This window comes from Homo sapiens, chromosome 9, assembly GCF_000001405.40.
Source record: "Homo sapiens chromosome 9, GRCh38.p14 Primary Assembly".
Classification (NCBI taxonomy): domain Eukaryota; kingdom Metazoa; phylum Chordata; class Mammalia; order Primates; family Hominidae; genus Homo; species Homo sapiens.
In genome coordinates this window covers 98,179,231-98,201,054 of record NC_000009.12, presented here as the reverse complement: position 1 = coordinate 98,201,054, position 21,824 = coordinate 98,179,231, and the positions used below count along the sequence as shown (strand labels likewise).

The following is a 21,824-nucleotide window of genomic DNA, read 5'->3' as shown; positions in this document are numbered from 1 at the left end:
ACAGATTTCTCATTTCTTTCTTTCTTTTTTTTTTTTTTTGAGATGGAGCCTTGCTCTGTCACCAAGGCTGTAGTGCAGTGGCACGATCTCCGCTCACTGCAACCTCTGCCTCCCAGGTTCAAGCAGTTCTCCTGCCTCAACCTCCGGAGTAGCTGGGATTACAGGCATGCAACACCATACCTGGCTAATTTTTGTATTTTTAGTAGAGATGGGGTTTCATCATGTTGGCCAGGCTGGTCTCGAACTCCTGACCTCAGATGATCCACCCGTGTCAGCCTTCCAAAGTGCTGGAATTACTGGCATGAGCCACTGTGTCTGGCCTGTCATTTCATCTGGTTCTTGCCAAAGCCCCACGTAAAGATACAGATTAACTCCATGAGATTCAACAGGGGCCGTGCCTCACCCACAGTCATGGGACAAGACAGGCTAGAGCCAGGACTCTGTCCAAATCCCCAGATTTCAAGCTGTGCGTCCCTTCCCCCGCCCCCCCACCACCCCGCCGGGGTATTCAGTCTCCCCCAGCCCCCTGGAGCCTATCCCCACACATTGTGCCTCCAGGCCTCAACTTCCGCAGCCAGTCCAGGGTCTTCCATACTGCCCAAGTCTGTCAGGTTCCCTCCCTCCGGGGATGACCTGCCTGGCCCCCCCATGCCCTACCTGAGCCCCCACTCTACCCCCAGGTGGTGTTTCGCTATGCCTTGGCCATTTTCAAGTACAACGAGAAGGAGATCTTGAGGCTACAGAATGGCCTGGAAATCTACCAGTACCTGCGCTTCTTCACCAAGACCATCTCCAACAGCCGGTGAGGAACCCCCACCCCCTGCCACTCCCACCACTCACACACCCCCAAGGACACATAGCAGAGGGGAGGCTGATGTTTGCCAAGTAGAGATTGGTAAGTGACGCTGATGCTCGTATTATAGCTTAGAAATCTTTGGGGAAGTCTGACTGTCTGAGTGATATGTCTGCCCCCTTAACATGGCATTTGAGGCCTCCATGGAGTTTCATTTTTTGCCCACCTTCCCCTACCCTGAACACCCATGGCCAGTGATCCTGGAAAACAGAATTATACGAGTTCCTAGGACAACCCCACCTTTGGGCTTTTGCTCTTGCAGTTTCTTTTACTTAGAATGCCTCCTTGCCACTTCCACCACCACTATCTTCTTTGCCTGGTCACCTTTTATTCATTCCTTAAAACTCAGCTCACACGTGGGTCACCTCCTCCAAGAAGCCTTCCCTGACCAGCCCTTCCCTGCTGGGTTAGGTGTCTTTCTTCTGATCTTCCTCCTGCCTCAGTACATATCTCTGTGGGTGGAAATCATCTTATTCATTGTTTCCTCCTGAGGGCAGGGGTCAGGGCTCAGCCACAAAGGCAGAAGGAATGCGGGGATGTCTGTCTGGGAGAGCCGGGTAAACGCCGGCCAGGTGGGGTGACGTGCTCTGGGCTGATTGTGCCCTCCTCCCAGGAAGCTGATGAACATCGCCTTCAATGACATGAACCCCTTCCGCATGAAACAGCTGCGGCAGCTGCGCATGGTCCACCGGGAGCGGCTGGAGGCTGAGCTGCGGGAGCTGGAGCAGCTTAAGGCAGAGTACCTGGAGAGGCGGGCATCCCGGCGCAGAGCTGTGTCCGAGGGCTGTGCCAGCGAGGACGAGGTGGAGGGGGAAGCCTGACTTGGCCACCTCCCCTCCCCACAGCCTTCCTCACCCTTGGCTGGCAGACCCACTGGAGGTCAGGCACGGACCAGTGGCCCAGCCCTGGGTGTCCCATCACCATGTGACCTTGGACATGTCCCTTCCCCTCTCTGGCCCTCAGTTTCCCCACTGGGACATTGTGTGCTGCAAAGCCATTGGTTGGGCTACTTCTTCATAGGCACTTACTTACCCAGGGATGCCACCCTTTCGTCACCTCTTCCACAGAGCACTTTGGCATGTAAACAAGCAAGAGCACTGCCTCTATAGGGTAACCTGGAACATTCTCTAGGTTATATCAATATAAAACAATGTAAATGGTGGAAATCATTCATAAGCTTTGGAACTTAAACAGTTCTCAGTTACCAGTTGTTCCTGGATGGGCCCACGGTGCCAGGGTGTGCCACCACCAGGCTTCCAGCCTAGGGCATCTCTGGCTGCTATTTCTGTGAGCGTCTGCAGGGCCAGCCCCTGCCTGGTTCCCTGAGATGTTAGGGTTTTGTCTTTCTGGGTAGCAGCTCCTTTTCAATACTGCCTGGGTCTGCATTCCGGGACGCTCTCCGTGTACTGAAGCCTGTTTCCAAAGCCCGGCCCCTGTGCCCTCCTTTCTGCTCACAGCCCATTTTGGGGGGATCCCAGGGAAACCCCCTGTGCACCACCACCAGGAACTTGGTGTGGGGGTTGGGCAGAGAGCCCTGGGTCAGGTGCCCCACTTGTGACCTCCCACTGCCCACTTCACAGGCTGGGGCACGGAGGGTTACCTCTCCTCTGAAAAATGGGTGGTTGGGAGGATGGGAGAAGGTGGGAAGTAGGGACTGCTGCAGCGCAAGCCAGGGCTGGCTCGTCACAGCACCCACCGTGGCCCCAACCCAGCGTCAGCCTCCTCCAGGTCCCTCCTCAGCAAATAGAGGCTTCAGTCTGTCCCCACCCGAGGCAGGGGGTCAAGGCCATACCAGTGACTTTGGCAACTCATTTCTCAGCAAAACCTGTGTCTGTGCTGGCCTAGCCTTGAGTTGGCTGTCTTTGGTATGAAGGACTGGGGGTTCTCACATGGAAGCCTCCTCTCTGGAAAACCACCGAGGATTAGGGGACGCTGCCCTGGAACCTCCTGGCTCTGATCTGAGGCTCCCATCCAGGCTGGGGAGGAAACTTTCCCCATCACTGGGGACCATGGACGGGCCCCGTGGTGGCCCTGGCTGGTCCCTAGCCCCACTGTCACCCACAGGTGTGAATTTGAGGGGTTGGCCCACCAGGCTCCCAGTTCCCTACACTGCACCGCCTGTGCAGCCTCAGGGAGGAGACGCTCAGGGTTCCTCTCCTCCCTGTCCACGTGGGCTCCTGGCTGGCCCGAGGGCTCCACTTTTCTGTGAACACCCTGCATTGGGGCTTGACTGCCTTTCTCATTGCTAAACTTTTTTCATTCGCTAAGGCCCTTTCAGCACCAAACTGTTTATGAAGTGTGATGGTGGCATGAGGGCGGCCTGGGGGTCCCAGCTGCACCCTGGACAAGCTAGATACTGCGCCCCTAAGTTGGTCATCGGGATGATGAGAGGTCCAGCCCCATGGGGCTCCCAGGAGGGCTAAAGCAGGTAAACTGGTGCAGAGCCTGGAGCCTGGCACAGAGGAAAGTGCCACCGATGGGAACGAGCAGCCCTATTTTTTTTTTTTTTTTTGAGACGGAGCCTCCCTCTGCTGCCAGGCTGGAGTGCAGTGGCGCAATCTCGGCTCACAACAACCTCTGACTCCCTGGTTCAAGCGATTCTCCTGCCTCAGCCTCCCGAGTAGCTGGGATTACAGGTATGCGCCACCACGCCCAGCTAATTTTTGTATTTTTAGTACAGACAGGGTTTCACCATGTTAGCCAGGATGGTCTCAATCTCCTGACCTCGTGATCTGCCTGCCTCAGCCTCCCAAAGTGCTGGGATTACAAGCGTGAGCCACCGCACCCGGCCTGAGCAGCCGTCTTACGAAGGAAACACCACCTGCAGGGCCCTGAGGCCTGCAAAAGCCCCAAGGCTGCCTGGGAGCTCTGGCCCAGGCGGTCCCTCTGCCTTTAGCCTTGAAATTCACATTCCCTCTTCAGCAACAACAATCAAAAAAGAATCAGGCAACGGGCACAGGGGCTATTGGATAAATGGCAGCCCACCTCTACCTTTTTCCCTCCCCTTCCCTCCCCCTCCTCCACCTCCCCTTCCCTCCTTCCTCCCCGTCCTCCCTCATCCCCCTTTTTCTCTTTCCCCATTCTCCTCTCCTTCCCTTCTTCCTCCTTTCTCCCCTCTTCCCCCCTTTTCTTCTTCCCTCTCTTCCCCCTCTCCACTTCTCTTCCTCTCTCCTCCGTCTCCCCACATCCCCCCAACCCCAGGCAGAGGAGAAGCTCTGCTCAGAGCTGAGTGTCTGTGCTCTTTCCCTCCCCTCCTGTGGAGAGGGGTGGGTGGTACTTTGTATTTGACCCAGCATAATGTAACCTCTGGTTCCTACCTGGCTGCACCTGAGAATCACCTGAGTAGGCCAGGCGCCGTGGCTCACGCTGGTAATCCCAGGACTTTGGGAGGCCAAGGCGGGTGGATCACTTGAGGCCAGGAGTTCAAGACCAGCCTGGCCAACATGGTGAAACCCTGTCTCTACTAAACATACAAAAAATTAGCCAGGCATGGTGGTGGGCACCTGTAATCCCAGCTACTCGGGAGGCTGAGGCAGGAGAATCACTTGAACCTGGGAGGTGGCGGTTGCGTGGAGCTGAGGTCGTGCCATTGCATTCCAGCTTGGGCAACAAGAGCGAAACTCTGTCACAAAAAAAAAAAAAAAAAAAAGAATCACCTGAGTAGTTTTTTAAAAATGTTGGTGCTAGGGTCCTATGCCTGGAGCCTGTGGTGGAGCCCAGGCATTCTGATACATGGAAGGGTTGGGGACACAGGACACGGGACACAGGGCTAACTGCCTCCTCAGGCCCTGACAGGGAGCTGGGATTGAGAACTGCTTGTCCTGCAGCATCAACTCACCCAGGCCAAGCTCAGGTTACCAACGAGTAGACAGGGCTCAGAGACATTAGCTAACCTATCCAAAGTGACACAGCCACTGGTTGAGCCATGCTCAAGCCTAGAGCCCTTACTGCAAAGCCAGGGAGGACTCCCCCAGCTTAACCCACCTGTGGAACCTAGAACACCTTCCCCAAGGACCTAGGGAAGGGGCATGCCTGGCCTGTGGCCTCCTGGGGATACCCTCAGAAGATAGTTCTAAGCCAAGGAAAACTAGAGGAAGAATTTCCTCATGGTTGCCTCACGCTGGGATTGTAGCACTATTTCTCCCCTTCATCAGAGACAACAAGAGAAGCATGATACCCACATGGCAAGGAGGCTGAGCAGGGACTGGTGGGCCCACCCCAGAGCATCTGTGCCTGCTGTTGCTGCCCCTGGGGCGCCTGCTTGCCCTTCCCTGCTCTTTCTGGAGGGTGTTTGGGGCCCACTCCTGGTGTCAGGTTCCTGGCCCGCACCACAGCTGTTGCCCCCTTCCCCTGGGGCTGCTGCCTTCCAGGGCTGGAGGATCCGATCCCTCTCAGCCCCACCTTCCCACCCTAGGGGACAGGACCTCATGCTCAAAGCATGCCTTCCCCAGGCCTTAGGCCCCCAGCAAGCTGTGGTCCGACCTGCTCTAAAGGAGAGGAAAAGGGAATTACCCAGGGAACCTCCCTGGGGCAACATCCCTAAGAATAAAGGGACTGGGTCAAAGGAGGTGGAAGGCCCCCCTCCCAACAACCCCTAACATAAGAGGTGCTCACTCACTTCCAGAGATTGCCCGTGTTCAAGGCTACTATCCTCCAAACACAGACCCCTCCCCAACCCCCAGGCACTGTCTCCTCATTCTTTCTCAACCCCCTCCCCCATGGACATGGGGCCATATCGTACAGAAAGTTCCATGTGGGGCAGATAGATGGAGAACTTGCCCCCCACCCCCACCACACACACACATATGTTCTGGTCCTGCACAAGATGTTTACCCACATATGGAAGATTAACAAAGCCAGCCATGTGGGTGCACTGGGAAGGAAGAGGGAGGTTTCCTGGCCCATCCCAATCCACACTAAGGCCTAATAGAAGATGCCAGGAGATGGGCCCAACTTTGGAACCAGATCTGCTATGTGGTTTTCTAGCTAGGGGATCCTGCGTAGGTCATGCCCACTGTGGCCTCAGTTTCCCCATGTGTGCAATCCTGCATCTGGACCAGGATTAGAGGGAGGGAAGGGGCAAGAGAGGAGGACACTCCCCAGCCACAGCAACCCCAGGAAGGGTCCCAGGTTCATTGCAGAGGTCTCCCTCTGGCTTATGGGTCCATATGCCCACAGCCCCCAGAGATGTCTCTGTCAAACCAGCTGTTCCCCAAACAGTCCCAGCCACCAACCACCATGGCACAGGGTAGGAAGATGCAGGTGCAAGCCTTGGAGGGCACATCCATAGGACATCTAGGAAGGCTAGGCCTGGAAGGATGAGTGGGTTTAGACAAGGGAGATGATGATTTGGGAAGAGAACTGCAGACAGAGCAAAGGCTCAGAGATGTCAGAGTGCAAGGCGAGTGGCATTGGCAGAGGTAGAAAGCCACACCAGAGATGCTGGCCCAAGCCCTAAGTGAATTAAGACATTCAAGGCCAGGCGTGGTGGCACGCACCTGTAATCCCAGCACTTTGGGAGGCCAAGGCAGGCAGATTGCTTGAGCCCAGGAGTTGGAGACCAGCCTGAGCAACGTGGCGAAACCCTATCTCTACAAAAAATATAAAAATTGGCTGGGCATGGTGGCACGCACCTGTAGTTCTAGCCATTCGGGAGGCTGAGGTGGGAGGATTGCTTGAGCTTGTGTGGTGGAGGCTGCAGCAAGCTAGGATTGTGCCACTGCACTCCAGCCTGGGCGACAGAACAAAACCATGCAAAAACAACAACAACAAAGTTATTCAGATGCCTTAGCCTGGGAAAGATCATGGTGCCCACCGTCCAGCTGTAATTCAAGTAAAAACCAAACCATGATTATAAAGAATTCCCACAATGTTCTGATTTCATCCATATGTTTGTTTGTTTGTTTGTTTGTTTGAGACAGAGTCCCACTCTGTAGCCCAGGCTGGAGTGCAGTGATGTGATCTCGGCTCACTGCCACCTCCACCTCCTAGGTTCAAGTGATTATCCTGCCTCAGCTTCCCAAGTAGCTGGAACTATAGGCACATGCCACCACGCCCGGCTAATTTTTGTATTTTTAGTAGAGACAGGTTTTCACCATGTTGGCCAGGCTGGTCTTGAACTCTTGAGCTCAAGCAATCCACCTGCCTTGGCCTCCCAAAGTGCTGGGATTACAAGCATGAGCCACTGCGCCCAGCCATCCATATGCTTGATACCCAACTCTTGCACGCTAACACCAGAAGCATGCGTTCAGTCTACCTGCTGGGCAATCCAGCTCCAGAAGGTCTGAATCAGAGCTGTAGGATGGGGTTTTCAGGACCATAGTGCACACTGGGCTTTGGGTGGTAGGCAGGGAGCCCGTCCAGCTCTGGGCAGGGGGGTGGTACAGTGGACTATGGAAGCTGAGTCACATTCTAAGGAGAGAATCAAGAGCTCCCTAAGTACCTTGCCACTCCAAGCCTCAGTTTTCTTATCTGTAAAATGGAGGTAATAATAGTGGCTAAATAAAGCCACTATTATTAGAAGCTTAGAAGAAACGATACAGATATGTAAAGTAGTAACAGTGTACTCTGTTATCCACTCCACAACTATATATTGAGTGGTTACTATGTGCCACGGAGCAGTTCAAGGCCCTCAAGATAACCCGTCTCTACTGAACAAAACCAAGAGCTCTTCACAGACGTGGTGTGGAGTGGAGTGGCTGTTAGCTTAGTAGCCGTGGGAGCCATACTGCCTGGGGTTGCATGACTAGCCGGGTGATCTTAACCTAGGTACTTAATATCTCTGTGCCTCAGCTCTTTTGTGTTAAATAGGTGAGTAATGGTATCAACCTCATAGGCCTGTGTGACAGTGAAGCGAGGTAATGCACAGAAGGCGCTTAGAGGAGTGCGTGGCTCAGTAGTGTTAGGTGGGGGTGGTACCCAAAGGTAGGGCCTCCCCATTGTCTAGTGTCCTCAGGGCTCTCCAGCCAGCGAGGCTGGCAGCAGCGCCCCCGGCTGGTCCCGAGAGAAGGAAGGGCGTCCTCCTCGGTTCCCAGCGGCGCTCCCGGCTCCTCTCCTCCCTGCGGACGGGGAAGCCTCGGTAACCGCTGTAACTGCTCGGGGAAAGGAGCGCTTCCCTGGCCGGGCTCGGCGCGCGCACTGTACCCGGCCGGGATCGTCACATCCAGGGCTCAAACAGCCTTAAGAGGCCGACGCGGTTACTGTCTCCATTTCACAACGGGGGAAACTGAGGCTCCGGGAGGTCAGGTTCCTCATCCCACACCACGCAGCGAGGGCACGGCGCGACGTGGGGCCCGCGGCTCTGCCTGTCCCCAGCCTCCGCCTGGTGGCCGGCAGCCCGCCCCAATCACTGCGGCGTGTGCGCGCCTGTTCCCAGCACGTGTGCGCGCCCCGAGACCCGCCCCGGGGAGCCAGGAGCGCGGTCGGGGTCGTGGGGGCGGAAAAGGGTGGCCAGGGCGGACCCGCGGGGCGGGCAAAAGGGCGGACCTTGGGCCAGGCCCCCGCCCCGCCCTCCGGCCCCGCCCGCCGGGCTGCAGGGGGAGGCGGCGGCGGCTCTGGGCGCCGGGAGTCGGCGGGCGGCGAGGAGCGCGGAGCCGGAGCTGGACGCCGCCGCCGCCACCGCCACCTGCGCGGCAGTCATCAAGGTAGGGCGGCCCTGCGCCGCCGGCCGTGCCTTCCCGGTCTGCGCGATGGGGGCGTCGGGCGGGACGTGCGCGCTGCGGCTGCAGCTCCCGGAGAGGGAGGGATGCGGGGCTCGGAGCGCGGGGGACCTGGCTTTCAGCCCCTTTGCGTGACCTTGCACAAAGCACTGCTCCTCTCCAGGCCTCAGTTTCCCCGTCAGGATAGCTTGCTCATTGGTGGCCCCCTTCTCGCGGGGTTGTTGGGAGGGGCCGCCTCGAGGTCCGGGCTCCCGACGGCTCGCTGCCCTCATGAGCACTGTCTGCACCGCCCACCCCTCCTGCCCGCGGTGAGGGAAGCTCACTCTGGGCGCGGCCAGCCGGTCCCGACAGGCCCCTGCTGTGGCCCGGGTGCTCCATGGGACTCTTGTCGGGACCCTCCCCCTCTTGGCTGCGTTACCTGCTGGGCCTCAGCTTCCTGGTACAGGAAACGGTGGGGTGGGGGGCATCCCCGGGTCCCCGCCAAGCCGGCCTGGGCGTGCATGTGGGGCATCAGCCGGCCCGCCAAGAGGGTTTACTCGTCTGGGGCTGGAGGAGCCCTAGGTTGGAGGTGGCTGGACTCCTGGCGGCACGACTGCCTGGACCAGCCCCACGTAGGCACCTCGATTTAGAGAGTGGTATAGGATAGCTCCTTCCCCTTCCCCACCCGGGCCAGGTGCTGGTGCCTAGCTCTGTGTCCCAGAGCTAGTGTGTGATAAGGTGTGACACACACTAGCTGGTGTGACAAGGGGTGACTGGCGGCCACGCCTGGACCTCAGAGGGGTGACAGTGCCAAGGTGCTGTGTCCGCGTGGCATTAAGGGATGGGGCAGAGCACAGGTCTGAGGGACTGTGGTCCCAGGCTCCCTAGGTAAAGAAGACCTATGGCATCTGGCCCAGCCCCTCTGTAAGATCCCCTCTGGAAGGTCTTGCTGCCCCCTTGCACACTCCTTGTGATAGGAATCTCACTAGTTGTAAACCAAGCTGGAATCTGCTACCCAGTCACTGCCTCTCCTGCTGGTCCTGCTCTGGACACACAAACAACCTCTGACCCTTCCTCCCTCACCCTGGGGCAGTGGTCAGGTCCCTTAAATATGCTCATCTCCAGACCCAGCAGCCCCAGGCCCAGCAGTTTCTCCCATCAGATCCCAGGGAGCCAAGGCAAGAAGAGGGAGCCGAGGTGTCTGCCCTGGAGCAGGCTGTGGGGCCTCCGCTTTCCTGGGGCTTGTTCAGAACCCACCTGTGCATCAGGACTGGAATGTGTCTCCCCAGCTTCCTGCCCCTCCTGGGGACCGTCTGAGAGGTCCGGAGTGAGGAGAGCCGGAGCCCCTCTGCAGGCCTTTCCTGCCCCATGGGGCCTCTTCTCCACCTCCCTGATGCCTGCCCTGTTTGAGGGAGCAGTTTCTAGGAATCACTTCTCAGCCTCCTGGTCTTTCTTGTCCCCTTCATGACCTGCCCTGCACCCAGGGATTTTCTTAACAGCCAAAAGAGGGCAGGAGGCCCCTGGACAGGTAGTGAGCTCTTTGTCATCACAGGTATTCAAGCAGAACCTGGGGGTGAGCTACCTTGGACTGAAAGTCTATGGAATTCTAGGGCTGAAGTAGTGCCTATGACCTTGCCCTGCGGCCATGGTGGAGCTGCACAGGACTGGGAGCTGGACCACAAATGAGTGTTATTATCCCCTCGTAAAAGCAGGCAAAGTATATGTGCTGGCCCATGAGCCCAGCTCCGACGCACAGGCTTAAGTGCTACCTGGGTCTCCTGTCATCTCGACACATGTATAATCTGGGCCCTGTTTTCCTGCTTGCCTAATTCAAGCCTTTTTGGCCTGATTTAGGAGCATGGCAGATTCTGGTTATTAAAAAGTCATGCTATGACTTTAATTGCTAATACTTTTTAAATGCACCATGGAATCATGGAATGTCTGAGCTGAAAGGAGCCTTCAGACGTCGTCTCATTCAACCCCCTCATTTTACAGATAGGCATCCCCTGTCGCCAGAGGGGATGTGACTGGGCAAAGGTCACACAGCAAACCAGCAACCGAGCCCAGGGATCCTGATTCCAAGATTGGAGTGCCTTTTTTTCTCCAAAAAAACACATAACATATAATAAATGAAAGCAGTCTGTATTTATTCCTGTAAAATTAGCAAAAATAAAAATAAAAAGATGAAACTCTGTGCTGGCAAGGCTATAGGGATTCGCCTGTGGCATTTAATTTTGCAGAGCAACCTGGCAGCCTGTTATCATGAAAATGATCATATTTGCCCTTTGCCCTTAGCCGGCTACTTTGGGGACTTTATCCTAAGGAAGTAACTAGGGAGAGAGACATATGTAGTGCTGTTATTTGTAAGAAGTTGTCTTCTGGCCAGGCACAGTGGCTCATGCCTGTAATCCTAGCACTTTAGGAGGCCAAGGTGGGCGGATCACCTGAGGTCTAGAGTTTGAGACCAGCCTGGGCAACATGATGAAATCCTGTCTGTACTAAAAATATAAAAATTAGCTGGGTGTGGTGGCACATGCCTGTAATCCCAGCTACTCGGGAGGCTGAGGCAGGAGAATCACTTGAACCCGGGAGGCAGAGGTGGCAGTGAGCCGAGATTGTGCCACTGCACTCCAGCCTGGGCGACAGAGCGAGACTCCATCTCAAAAAAAAAAAAAAATAAAGGAGTTGCCGTCTAGTGAAGAAGTGTTCAGTTTTATCTGAGGCTTAATAAACATTTCATTTGACAAATACAGCTTAAAAAATAGTGGCACTGAAGCTTACATTACCGGAGTCTGGCCAGCATAGAAACAGTTTAATCCAGAAGAAAGACCATGAGACTAAAGTCAGCAGACATAGATTCCAGATTGAAGTCTTCCTCTTCCCTACTGTGTGACCTTGGGCCGATCCGTTCCCCTCTCTGGACCTCACTTTCTCCATCTGTGAAATGGGGGTAGACTCAGCAGTTGCTGAATTTGTTTGAGCTCTGACAGCCAACCTCTTAGAGTGAACAAATCTCAGTAGCAAAGCCGAGATTGGAAGGAGATTCATTAAATGAATCCCCTTAGAGGCAGGTAGCTAGCTCCCCACCGAGGGGTTTCAGCCTTAAACCTTTGCTATTTCAAAATGGCCAGAAGCTGGATCGTTTTAGAAGTTGGTGTGTTTTTATCTTCTCTGCCAAATCTCAGGAGGTCCAGAAAATAATTCAGCAGAATCTTCTTGTGTTTTAAGTCTATAATCCATGCCTTGCCTCCTTCAGAACAGATTGGACGTGCTTTGCAATCACACCTGGTCTAAAGGGCCAGGAGTAGGTGACTTTGCTTCTGTGGTCAAACTGTGCCTCCTGGGGGTCTGCAGGCTGCTATGGGAAACTTACTAGGTTAAACCACATGAAACGGCCAGTATGTGACTTTTTTTGACTTACAAGAAATGGCAATTTCATTTGGTTCAGCCTAAATGGAAAAAGATATACAGGTATTTAAAGAGCGGTGTGCTCCTTACTATAATTGAGAGATTGGCAGGGTGTGGTGGGGACAAGGAAGGTGTGATTATGAGCTTGCAGAAGTCAAGGAGGAGGGACATGGGAGCCTCACTTTGAAGAATCACTAACAGTAATAATAATAGCTAACATTCATTGAGGGTTTACCGCCTGCCTAATTCTGTCCTAAGTGCTTTATGTTCATTCATTCCATTAGTCATTCAGCCAGTATTTATTAAGCACCTACATTGTACTAGTTTTTTTGTTTGTTTCTTTTGTTTTGTTTTTGTTGTTGTTTTTTGTTGTTGTTGTTGTTTTCTGAGACAGAGTCTCGCTCTGTCTCCCAGGCTGAAGTGCAGTGGCATGATCCCGGCTCACGGCAACCTCCGCCTCTGCCTCCTGGGTTCAAGTGATTCTCATGCCTCAGCCTCCTGAGTAGCTGGGATTACAGGTGCGTGCCACCACACCAGCTAGTTTTTGTATTTTCAGTAGAGACGGTGTTTCGCCATGTTGGCCAGGCTGGACTCGAACTCCTGACCTCAAATGATCCGCTTGTCTCGGCCTCCCAAAGTGCTGGGATTACAGATGTGAGCCAACACACCTGACCTGTACTAGGTATTTTCTAAGTGCTGGGGAAAGGGGGAAGGCGCTGATATTAAACAAAATAGACCAGAAAGATCTTCCCCCAAAGAGCTTACAATCAGATGGGGGGAAGACAGATGAAAAACAATAAATAAAATAGATGAATAGGTGATAAATAAAATCAGTGATAAATGAGGTGGAGCAAATAGAACATAGGAGGGGTTAGGGTGTGTGAGGGGGCAGTTTTAACTAGGGTGGGCTGGGGGCCTCATTGAGAAGGTGATTTTTAGGCAAAGGCTTGAAGGAGAGGGGTGAGTCAGGCTCATTTCTGGGGAAACAGCCATTCAGGTGGAGGGAACAGCTGGGGCAAAAGCCCTGAGGCAGGACCATGCCTGGCATGTTCAGAGAAGCACGAGCTGGGACAGAGTGATGGCGGGAGAAGAGGAAGAGAGGAGCAGGCAGGCCCTGGGCTAGACTGTGTACCCCACCATGCTCATAATGGAATCCTGCGAGTGTATGACGGAGCTACTCTTTTTATCCCGCTTTTCCAATTAAGAAAACAAAAATACAGAAAAGTTACATGGCTTATTGAAACTGTGTCTCATGGAGAATCTAGGACTTTCAGCCAGGGTCAGCGGGGAGCCATGGAAGGCTTTTGAATTGGGTAGGAACATGGCCAGATTTGAATATTGGTGTGATTCCTGCGAGATTGCTATGGTCTGAATATTTATGTTCCTCCAAAGCTCATATGTTGAAATCTTACCCCATAAGGTGATGGTATTAAGAGGTGGGGCTTTTGAGAGGGAATTAGGTCAGGAAGGCAGAGCCCTCATAATGGGATTAGTGTTCTTATAAAAGAGGCCCCAGAGAGACCCTCACCTCCTCCACCACATGAGGACACAGTAAGAAGGCGCCATTCTATGACCCAGGAAGTGGGCCCTCACCAGACTCCAAATCTGCTGTCTTAGTCTTGGACTTCCATCCTCCTGAACTGTGAGAAATACATTTCTATTGTTGATAAAGCACCTACATTTTTTTTTTTTTTTTTTGAGATGGAGTTTCGCCCAGCCGCCTAGGCTGGAGTGCAGTGGTGTGATCTTGGCTCACTGCAGCCACCGTCTCCCGGGTTCAAGTGATTCTCCCATCTCAGCCTCCTGAGTAGCTGGGATTATAGGTATCCGCCATCATGCCTGGCTAATTTTTTTTTTTTTTTTTTTTTTTTTTTGAGATGGAGTCTTGCTCTGTCGCCCAGGGTGGAGTGCAGCAGCACGATCTCGGCTCACTGCAAGCTCCACCTCCCGGGTTCATGCTATTCCCCTGCCTCAGCCTCCCCAGTAGCTGGGACTACAGGCGCCCACCACCACGCCCGGCTAATTTTGTTTTTGTGTTTTCAGTAGAGACGGGGTTTCACAGTGTTAGCCAGGATGGCCTCAATCTCCTGACCTCATGATCTGCCCCCCTCAGCCTCCCAAAGTGCTGGGATTACAGGCGTGAGCCACCGCGCCTGGCCAAAGCACCCAATTTATGATATTTTGTTGTAGCTGCAGCAACGGACGAAGACAGGTGCAGAGAGATGGCTGTAGAAATAGTCCAGGCCTGGAGTGCTGCTGTGGGACCTGGGCAGTGAGCTCAGTGCTAGGGGAGAGGTTGGGGTCCAGGCCAGGTGAGCAGGAGGAGGATGAGGAGGAAGCCAGGCTGACCCTGGGCTTATATATTTAACAAACACTTATTAGCACTTCTTACCACCATCTAATATTTTATATACGTTAACCCAATCCCCATAACAACCTATAGGGTACATACTGTTTGTTATTATTTCTCCCGTTTTAAAATGGATATATTATATGTAAATGATATCTCATGAAGTTAATTTACAAAGAAAATACATTTTTAAAATTATAAACACTTGATAATGGAGAATTTCAGAAAAAGGCAGGAAAACAGACAAAATAAATTACCCATATCTTCTCCTCTTCTCATCCCACATAATCAATATGAACATTTACTTTCAGTCTTTTTTGTACTATCATTCCCATTTTATAGATGACAACACTGAGCCCCAGGGAAGTTGGGTAGCTAGCCCAGGATCATACATTCAATCTATGTCATCTGCCACCAGTGTCCAGGGCTTAATCACCTTCCCCTGCTGCCTGTAGTCCATCCCTGGAATGTCAGAGTTGGTGGGTTCCATTAAGATACCATCCCCCAAACCTAGCCCCTCCCCCCGCCAGCCACCCCTCTCCTGGCATCATTTCACAGATAGGTAAAGTAAGGCCCAATAAGAGATGGGGCCTTGCTCAGCATCTGTCAGCCAGTCAGGAGCAGATAGGTGAAGTCTCATTCAAATAAGAAATCGGGAGCTGAGCATTTGTGCAGGGTTGATATGACAGCTGCTTCTAGCCTGGCCTTGAGCCTGGAGTTTGTAGGGGCCCTGGCAAATGGCATGACCCTGCCCACAGGCAGTGCAGGGGCAGGCGTGTGTTCCCTGGGCCCAAGAGTCTTGTCCCTCTAGCCAGCCCTGGGTGGGAGGTGAGTTTGGGGCTTTGCCCACACTGCAGGTCCCCTGAGAGTTGTCTCCTGTACTCTGACTGTGCATTTATTTCTGGCTCTGGTGCCAGCAAACTCCTGGGGCTGCCTGCTGCCAGGGATGCAGCCCTGGCTTCTAGCCCCATCTCAGACACTGAGTGGCCTTGGGCCAGGGTCTCTCCTGGCCCACCTGCAAAATGGCATCATAACGGCCCCAGCCACAGGATGAAGTAAGAAGTGCAAGGGAAGTTCTTGCACAGGGCGTGGTCTATGGCGTGCTCAATAACTGGGCAACTCCTGTGGCTGTTCCTAAGGCTGCACCACGGTGTTGGCCCAGGCTGGGGAATTGAGCCCACTGCAGACAGAGCCCCCTCCTGCCAACCTCCCTTTCACACCTGGCTGACCAGGTAGACCTGCCTGAGAAATCAGATACGAGCCTCCAGCAATGGTTTGGAGTCTAAGATTGCGGACAACAAGGGATGCAGTGGAGCAAAAGAACCCAGGCCTCTGAAGAAGGAGAGCTGACCCCGCTGCTGATATGCTCCTTAGGCAAGTCTTGACCCTTCTTTATGACTCAGTGTCCTCATCTGTAAAAGGGGAAGAATAATTCCTGCCTTAGTCATTGTAATGATCTTCACCCCAGCAACCACCTATTGATGTTTTTCTAATGCTTGGGGAGTGTGAATGCAGACAAGCTAGACCCATCACAGCCGTGAGGGCCCATGGCCTGGCAGGGGCACTACAGTTATCATAGGGAAGCCCAGGAGCTGTGGGGCCTCCAGGAGGGCACCTAACCCAGCCTGGGGTGGAAGTGGGGGGTCATGGAAGGCTCCCTAGAGGAGCTGATGCCTGAGCTGGGTTGTTAGTGTGATTTGGAGACGGCCAGACTATGAAGGGTAGAAAAATAAGGGAAGATATTGGGTCAGTCACTCCACTTCTCTAAGCGTCAGTTTCTTCATTTATAAAATGAGGATAATAAATACCTGTTCTGCCTAATGTATAAGCTTGTTGTAAGGCTCTAAATTGGATAAAAGTAAGGAGGCGCTTTATGAACTACAAAATGCCAGGCACCTACCTATTCATTATTCATTGTGATTTCTGGAGCCCCTAGGGGTTAGGGAAATATCAGGCCAGCATCTGGGGCTGGGAGAACTTTCAGTTGGTTTTGAAAGGGCTACAATCAAATCGGACAGAGACAGACAGCCGCCATTAACCACACACCCCTTGATTTAAGTGCTCTGGAGTATTTCTGTGCCTGGGTGTGGCTTTGTTTGGTGGGGTCCCCGAAGGCAGCCATGGCCCCATCACAGATCACAGCCCCACTCTGAGGATGAGGAGGAACAACGTCAGACCCAAAGCACTACGTCCCTGTAGAGGCCTGGGACCTGCCAGGGATAGGGATAGAGGACGGGAGCACTGTGGGGCCGCCATGAAGAAACCAGTCTGTTTAGAGAGAGGGCCACCATGTCACGGTAAGAGAAAGAGTAGTATGTGTGGAATGAGACTGTTTGGGTTTGGATATGAGAAAAGAATCTTTCCCTAGCATGCAGACATAGCAAAATATTCAGACAGACATCAAGCTAATTATCACTAGGTGGTAGAATTTTGTTTTCTTTGGTCTTTTCTACATTTAAAATGTTTTGGCTGGGCATGGTGGCTCCTCCTGGTAATCCCAGCACTTTGGGAAGCCAGGAGTTTGAGACCAGCCTGGGCAACAAAGTAAGACATTGCCTCTATTAAAAAAAAAAATAAAATAAAATAATTTTATACTTGATAGATAATTTATTTCTGTAAAGATTTTGGTGATATGTGTGCAGTCATTCCTAAATATTCAGCTTCCAGGACACCCAAGGATATCAAAATCTGTGGATATTCAAATCCCTGATATAAAATAGTATAGTGTTTACATGTAACCTACACACACCCTCCTGTATACTTTAAGTCATCTATAGATCACTTACAATGCCTAACACAATGTAAATGCTATGTAACTAGTTATTATACTGTATATACATATTTTTAAGACAGAGTCTTGCTGTGTCACCCAGGCTGGAGTGTAGTGGCACAATCTCAGCTCACTGCAAACTCCGCCTCCCGGGTTCAAGTGATTCTTGTGCCTCAGCCTCCCAAGTAGCTGGGATCACAGGCATGCACTACCACACCCAGCTAATTTTTTACATTTTTAGTAGAGATGGGGTTTCGCTATGTTGGCCAGGCTGGTCTCGAACTCTTGATCTCAAGTAATCTGCCCGCCTCAGCCTCCCAAAATACTGGGATTACAGGTGCAAGCCACCATGCCTGGCCCATTGTACTGTATTTTTAAATTTGTATTTTTTAATTGTTGTATTGTTATTTTTCCTTAATTTTTTCGAATATTTTCCATCTGAGGTTGGTTGAATCTACAGATGCAGGACCCACAGATACAGAGGGCCAACTATGTATGCAATACAAGTTATAATGATATTTAGATAATAAAATACTCAGGCCGGTCTGACATCAGCAGGCTGCAGGGATGAAGTCAGCACTCACAGCATAAGGACTTTGGTAAGGCCTGGATGACATCCCCAGTGCTGGCCTTCGGAACAGTTGGGAGCAGAGTCCAAGGATGGCTTGATGGAGTCACACTGGAGGAGATGTCTGTGGGGGTTTCTGAAGGTGGGAACTAGGACTCTTTTCTTGGGACAAAGACTTGGGGTTTTGGGTGGCTGCAAGCACAGTAGCATTGTGACCAAACTGTCCAACTGTGGAACCTACCACATCAGTAGCAACAGAGGGTTGGAGGCAGAGGTGAGGGTCCTGCTGAAGTTTGGGCCGCTTTCTGAGCAAGACTAGGACAGCTGAGACAGATCCAGAGGGGCGCCAGGCCGGGGAAGGGCCTGAGCCTTCAAATTCCGTGAAGCTCTGGAGATCCAGGGTGAATGCTAGGCCTCAATAGACCCTTGTCCCTTAACGATTTGTGTTCTTGGTCTTTGATCCCATCTCACAGGCGTTTCAGCCTCTTTGCAAGGGAAGTAAAGAATCTAAGCTACTGCGGTATTTCATTCAAGGCAGGGCTTATCTGTTGTGAGATGTACCCTTATTTTAGAATCCATTAAGAAAGAAAAAGCAACAGAAACTGTAAGTTGCATCCCAGTTTCAGAGATGTTAAAATGTAAAAAGCTGTCTTGGAATCATTTGACATGTGGCGGGTCCCCAATTAGACTCTTAGTGTGCATTCACTCATGGAATCTTCACCATCGCATTGTAGCTAGATAGTCTTGTCCTCTTTTTACAGATAAGGAGGCAGGAGCCCAGAGAGGTTGAGTAAATTTGCAAGGTCACGCAGCCAGCAAGAGGCAAAGCTGGGCTTTGAACCTGGTCTAATTAGATTCCACTTCTTTTTCCTCATCCAACCCCACAAAGAAAAGGCTCCTGAGTCCTGGCCCTTGGGAAGAACAGAATCTCCACAATGCCAGCTCAGAAATGCTCCAGTGGCCTGGTCATTAAAAGCCTGGTACTCTGAGTAATGGGGGTGGGGAGTGTGGAGGAGGGCTGGGGAGATAATGAACAGGAAGGAGCTTTGAGAGCTTGCTGGCAGGGTCACTAGCCTCATCCTTGTTGAAACCATTGCAGGAGTGGCTCGGCCTGTGTGGCCTGCCCTGGAGAAAGACTGTAGAGATATCTGCCCCACACAGATAATCCTGGAGCCTCACCCAGACTGACCCATTCATTCGCTCCCTAAAAAGTTATCTTTCAATGTAATTTTTTGACTAGGACCTTTGTTCACGATTGATTACTTTCTGTATGTAAAGCATTAGAGATACCAAGCACAGCAAAACAGACACAGGCCCGCCTTTGAGGGCTCACAGACCAAACGAGAGATGGACAGTAATCGTAGAGTCCCACAGAATCTGGAGGAGGAGAGAGGAGTGAAGGGCGTGCAGAGTAGAGAATGTGCTGAGTCCGGGGTCACTGCAAAAGGCTGCAGTCCAGGGCACAGATGGTGCCGGTCAAGGAAAGGAAGGTATTTGGAGATGAGATGGCTCTTTTAAGGAGGTGAAACTGAGTCTCAGAGAGGCCATAGGACTTGTCTGAGGTCACACAGCTTGGAAGTGACTCTCCTTGTATGGTTTTCTTTGTTGCGGGTTCCTTTCTTGAGTTTTCCTTTGGAGATGAAAACATGATGTGAGGGGAGCCATGGCCTGCGAGGGGATGGATGGGATGTTCTAAGGAAAGGACTTTGAGCTGAGATCTGAAAGATGAGTAGGGACTGAGCAGGCAAGGGTGGGGAGGGAGGCACGCTGCATAGGAGAAACAGCCTTGCCAAAGCCCTCCGGCTGGAGGAAACAGGACTTTGAAGAACTGAAAGCACCGTGATGTGTGCAGCTCAGATCCCTGGGCAAGGTGAGGCTGGGGAAGTAGAACAATGGCCGCCGAGGGGTCTGCTCACGTTTACATATTTCGGAAAGATCAAGGGCAAGATGGTTGGTGGCTGAGACTAAATGACCAAGTTTAACAGATGTTTGGAGCCAGGCACCGAGGCTCACGCCTATAATCCTAGCACTTTGGGAGACTGAGACATGAGGATTGCTTGAAGCCAGGAGTTCCAGACCAGCCTGGACAACATAGTGAGACCTCATCTCTTAAAAAAAAAAAAAAAAAAAAAAAGCAAGAGAGAGAGATGATTTGAAGGTGGGACAGGAGGCTGGGATTAGTGATGGATTGGCATTGGGTACAAGAAGAAGGAGGCCACGTGGGTGCCCGTGGGTTCTGGCTTTTCCGGCAGTGCCCTTCTCATGGCCTGACTTGCAGAGGGAGTCGCGCTGGGGGACACAAGCAACATGGGAGCAGCCTTCACCCCACTGGGGCCTCCTTCCCAGGGCTGGTTATTGTCCACCATTTTCCTCCCAACTGAGCTTAGATATCCAGGTTCACCCAGTGCTGGGGTTTGCCAGATGATGTGAAAAAAAAGTCAGTGGCGTGAGGGATTTTAGGGTGTTGATAAGAGTGAGCTGATGTCCCAGGTTACTGGGGACAAGAAATGGCCTTCCACAACATGCCCATGGAAATCACATGGCCCCCACACCATCCCTGGAGCTGGTCTTTCAGCAAAGGTGTTGCTGAGCATGGTGGTGGAGTTGGGGCATTGCTTGATGCATTGTGTCATCCTGGAGAGGGGTCTCTGGTTGTGGCTTCCAGGGCCCTCTACTCGAGCCTGAACCTGTTTTTACTGATCCATCATTGGGGACACTGGCAAAGGGCTGGTCACATGTGGCAGGTGACAGGAGGCTGGAGGTGGGGAGGGTGCGGTCAGGAGGGGTGCTTGAATTAGTGACTTTGGAAGCAGGTGGAGCATTTTCACCTAATGACAGAGTTCACTGTGCAGTCAAAAGAAGGGATGGTGCAGGTCAAGGAAAGGAGGGTATTTGGAGATGAGATGGTTCTTTTAAGGAGATGAAACTGAGGCTCAGAGAGGCCATGGGACTTGTCTGAGGTCACGTAGCTCAGAAGTGACTCTCCTTGTATGGTTTTCTGTGTTGCGGGTTCCTTTCTTGAGTTTTCCTTTGGAGATGAAAACGTGATGTGAGGGGAGCCATGGCCTGCGAGGGGATGGATGGGAATGCTTGCAGGAAGACTTCCTGGAAGAGGGAGCACTTCTCTAAGCTGAGCCTTGTAGCAGCCGGTCATACAGAGTGGTGGATAGGGCATTACTGGCAAAGGAAATGATGTAACCCAAGGACTGGAGAGGAGAAAACTTACTAGGCCTATATGGGATGCGATGAACGTAGGGTCTGGTTTGGCTCAGTATAAGAGGCAGAGTATAAGGTATTTGCCAGACGCCAAGGGCAGGGAGGTAGGTGCAGCCTGCCCTGTCAGGGAGGAGCGTTTTAGCACTGACGCACTGACGTTGTTTAGAATTGCAGGCACATTATGATCGTAAAATGTCAGACTTTGAGGCAGTTTTTTTTGCTTGCTGTTTTGTTTTGTTTTGTTTTGTTTGAGATGGAGTCTCACTCTGTCATCCAGGCTGGAGTGCAGTGGCGTGATCTCGGCTCACTGCAACCTCCGCCTCCCAGGTTCAAGAAATTCTCCTGCCTCAGCCTCTTGAGTAGCTGGGATTACAGGCACCTGCCACCGCACCTGGCTAATTTTTGTATTTTTAGTAGAGACGGGGTTTCACCATGTTGATCAGGCTGGTCTCAAACTCCTGACCTTGTGATCTACCTGCCTCGACCTCCCAAAGTGCTGGGATTACAGGCAAGAGCCACCGCGCCTGGCCTATTTTTAATTTCTCTGTTGAAAATGCACTTCCTGAGTGTCTGCGCCCGGCCGACTGCTCACCTCCCTCCTGCCCTCATCCCTGCCACTTCCCCTTCCCTGCTTGCCTCACATCCCTTCTTGATATACTCCTGGGCCACACCTTGGCTTTGAATCCCCAGCTGAGAAGCTATTGAAGGTTTTGGAATAGAGGATGCTGCCATCTACCAGTAGCCCAAGTGGGGTCTCAGCTTTAGAGAGGTGGGATCTGAGATGAGGACAGCCTGGAGGAGGCAGGAAGGACCTGGAAGATGGGGAGGATGAGAGATAGGAGCAGGATTGCAGGTCATTGCTTCATGAGACCCAGGACCCATGTCCACAGCTGCCCACCAACACGCCAGGCCCAGGCCAGCACAATGCTGGGCAGCAGGGTCTCCGCGTCCTGCAGGGTCACTGCTGTGGCTGGTAGGCAGAGGCAGAATCCTCATGCTCTAGCGGTCCCAGATCTCAGACA

At 52.5% G+C, this 21,824-nt stretch overlaps 2 protein-coding genes across 9 annotated transcripts in view, besides 6 other annotated features; both read left to right on the top strand.

Moving 5' to 3' along the window:
* TBC1D2 (TBC1 domain family member 2) overlaps window positions 1-2,057 on the top strand; it is a 56,652-nt gene extending 54,595 nt beyond the window's left edge. For 3 of the 7 annotated variants that reach the window (XM_011518843.3, XM_024447606.2, NM_001267572.1), the window contains 2 exons: window positions 681-802; window positions 1,467-2,057. In XM_011518843.3, the coding sequence (XP_011517145.1) occupies window positions 681-802; window positions 1,467-1,674 (330 nt within the window). In that variant the 3' untranslated portion in view covers window positions 1,675-2,057. The remainder of the gene's footprint in view (window positions 1-680; window positions 803-1,466) is intronic. The other 4 variants (NR_051978.2, NM_001267571.2, NM_018421.4 and 1 more) reach the window with 3 other exon arrangements.
* Window positions 1,067-1,934: an enhancer, noted in NCBI's record as "NANOG-H3K27ac-H3K4me1 hESC enhancer chr9:100961403-100962270 (GRCh37/hg19 assembly coordinates)". NCBI's record gives its function as "activates a minimal SCP1, AML or CMV promoter by ChIP-STARR-seq in naive H9 embryonic stem cells {active_cell/tissue: H9 hESC(naive)}" and the evidence as "EXISTENCE:reporter gene assay evidence [ECO:0000049][PMID:30033119]".
* Window positions 1,935-2,802: an enhancer, noted in NCBI's record as "H3K27ac-H3K4me1 hESC enhancer chr9:100960535-100961402 (GRCh37/hg19 assembly coordinates)". NCBI's record gives its function as "activates a minimal SCP1, AML or CMV promoter by ChIP-STARR-seq in naive H9 embryonic stem cells {active_cell/tissue: H9 hESC(naive)}" and the evidence as "EXISTENCE:reporter gene assay evidence [ECO:0000049][PMID:30033119]".
* Window positions 5,158-5,674: an enhancer, noted in NCBI's record as "H3K4me1 hESC enhancer chr9:100957663-100958179 (GRCh37/hg19 assembly coordinates)". NCBI's record gives its function as "activates a minimal SCP1, AML or CMV promoter by ChIP-STARR-seq in naive H9 embryonic stem cells {active_cell/tissue: H9 hESC(naive)}" and the evidence as "EXISTENCE:reporter gene assay evidence [ECO:0000049][PMID:30033119]".
* Window positions 8,089-8,638: a silencer, noted in NCBI's record as "silent region_20118". NCBI's record gives its function as "represses an Ori minimal core promoter by ATAC-STARR-seq in GM12878 lymphoblastoid cells {active_cell/tissue: GM12878}" and the evidence as "EXISTENCE:reporter gene assay evidence [ECO:0000049][PMID:35858748]".
* CORO2A (coronin 2A) overlaps window positions 8,418-21,824 on the top strand; it is a 71,663-nt gene continuing 58,256 nt past the window's right edge. The window contains exon 1 of one of the 2 annotated variants that reach the window (NM_052820.4): window positions 8,418-8,496. The gene's annotated coding sequence lies outside the window, so the exon portion shown is untranslated. Of the gene's footprint in view, window positions 8,497-15,365; window positions 15,623-21,824 lie in introns of those variants that run through there. The other variant, XM_011518986.4, reaches the window with a different exon arrangement.
* Window positions 8,709-8,758: a silencer, noted in NCBI's record as "silent region_20117". NCBI's record gives its function as "represses an Ori minimal core promoter by ATAC-STARR-seq in GM12878 lymphoblastoid cells {active_cell/tissue: GM12878}" and the evidence as "EXISTENCE:reporter gene assay evidence [ECO:0000049][PMID:35858748]".
* Window positions 8,911-9,565: an enhancer, noted in NCBI's record as "H3K27ac-H3K4me1 hESC enhancer chr9:100953772-100954426 (GRCh37/hg19 assembly coordinates)". NCBI's record gives its function as "activates a minimal SCP1, AML or CMV promoter by ChIP-STARR-seq in naive H9 embryonic stem cells {active_cell/tissue: H9 hESC(naive)}" and the evidence as "EXISTENCE:reporter gene assay evidence [ECO:0000049][PMID:30033119]".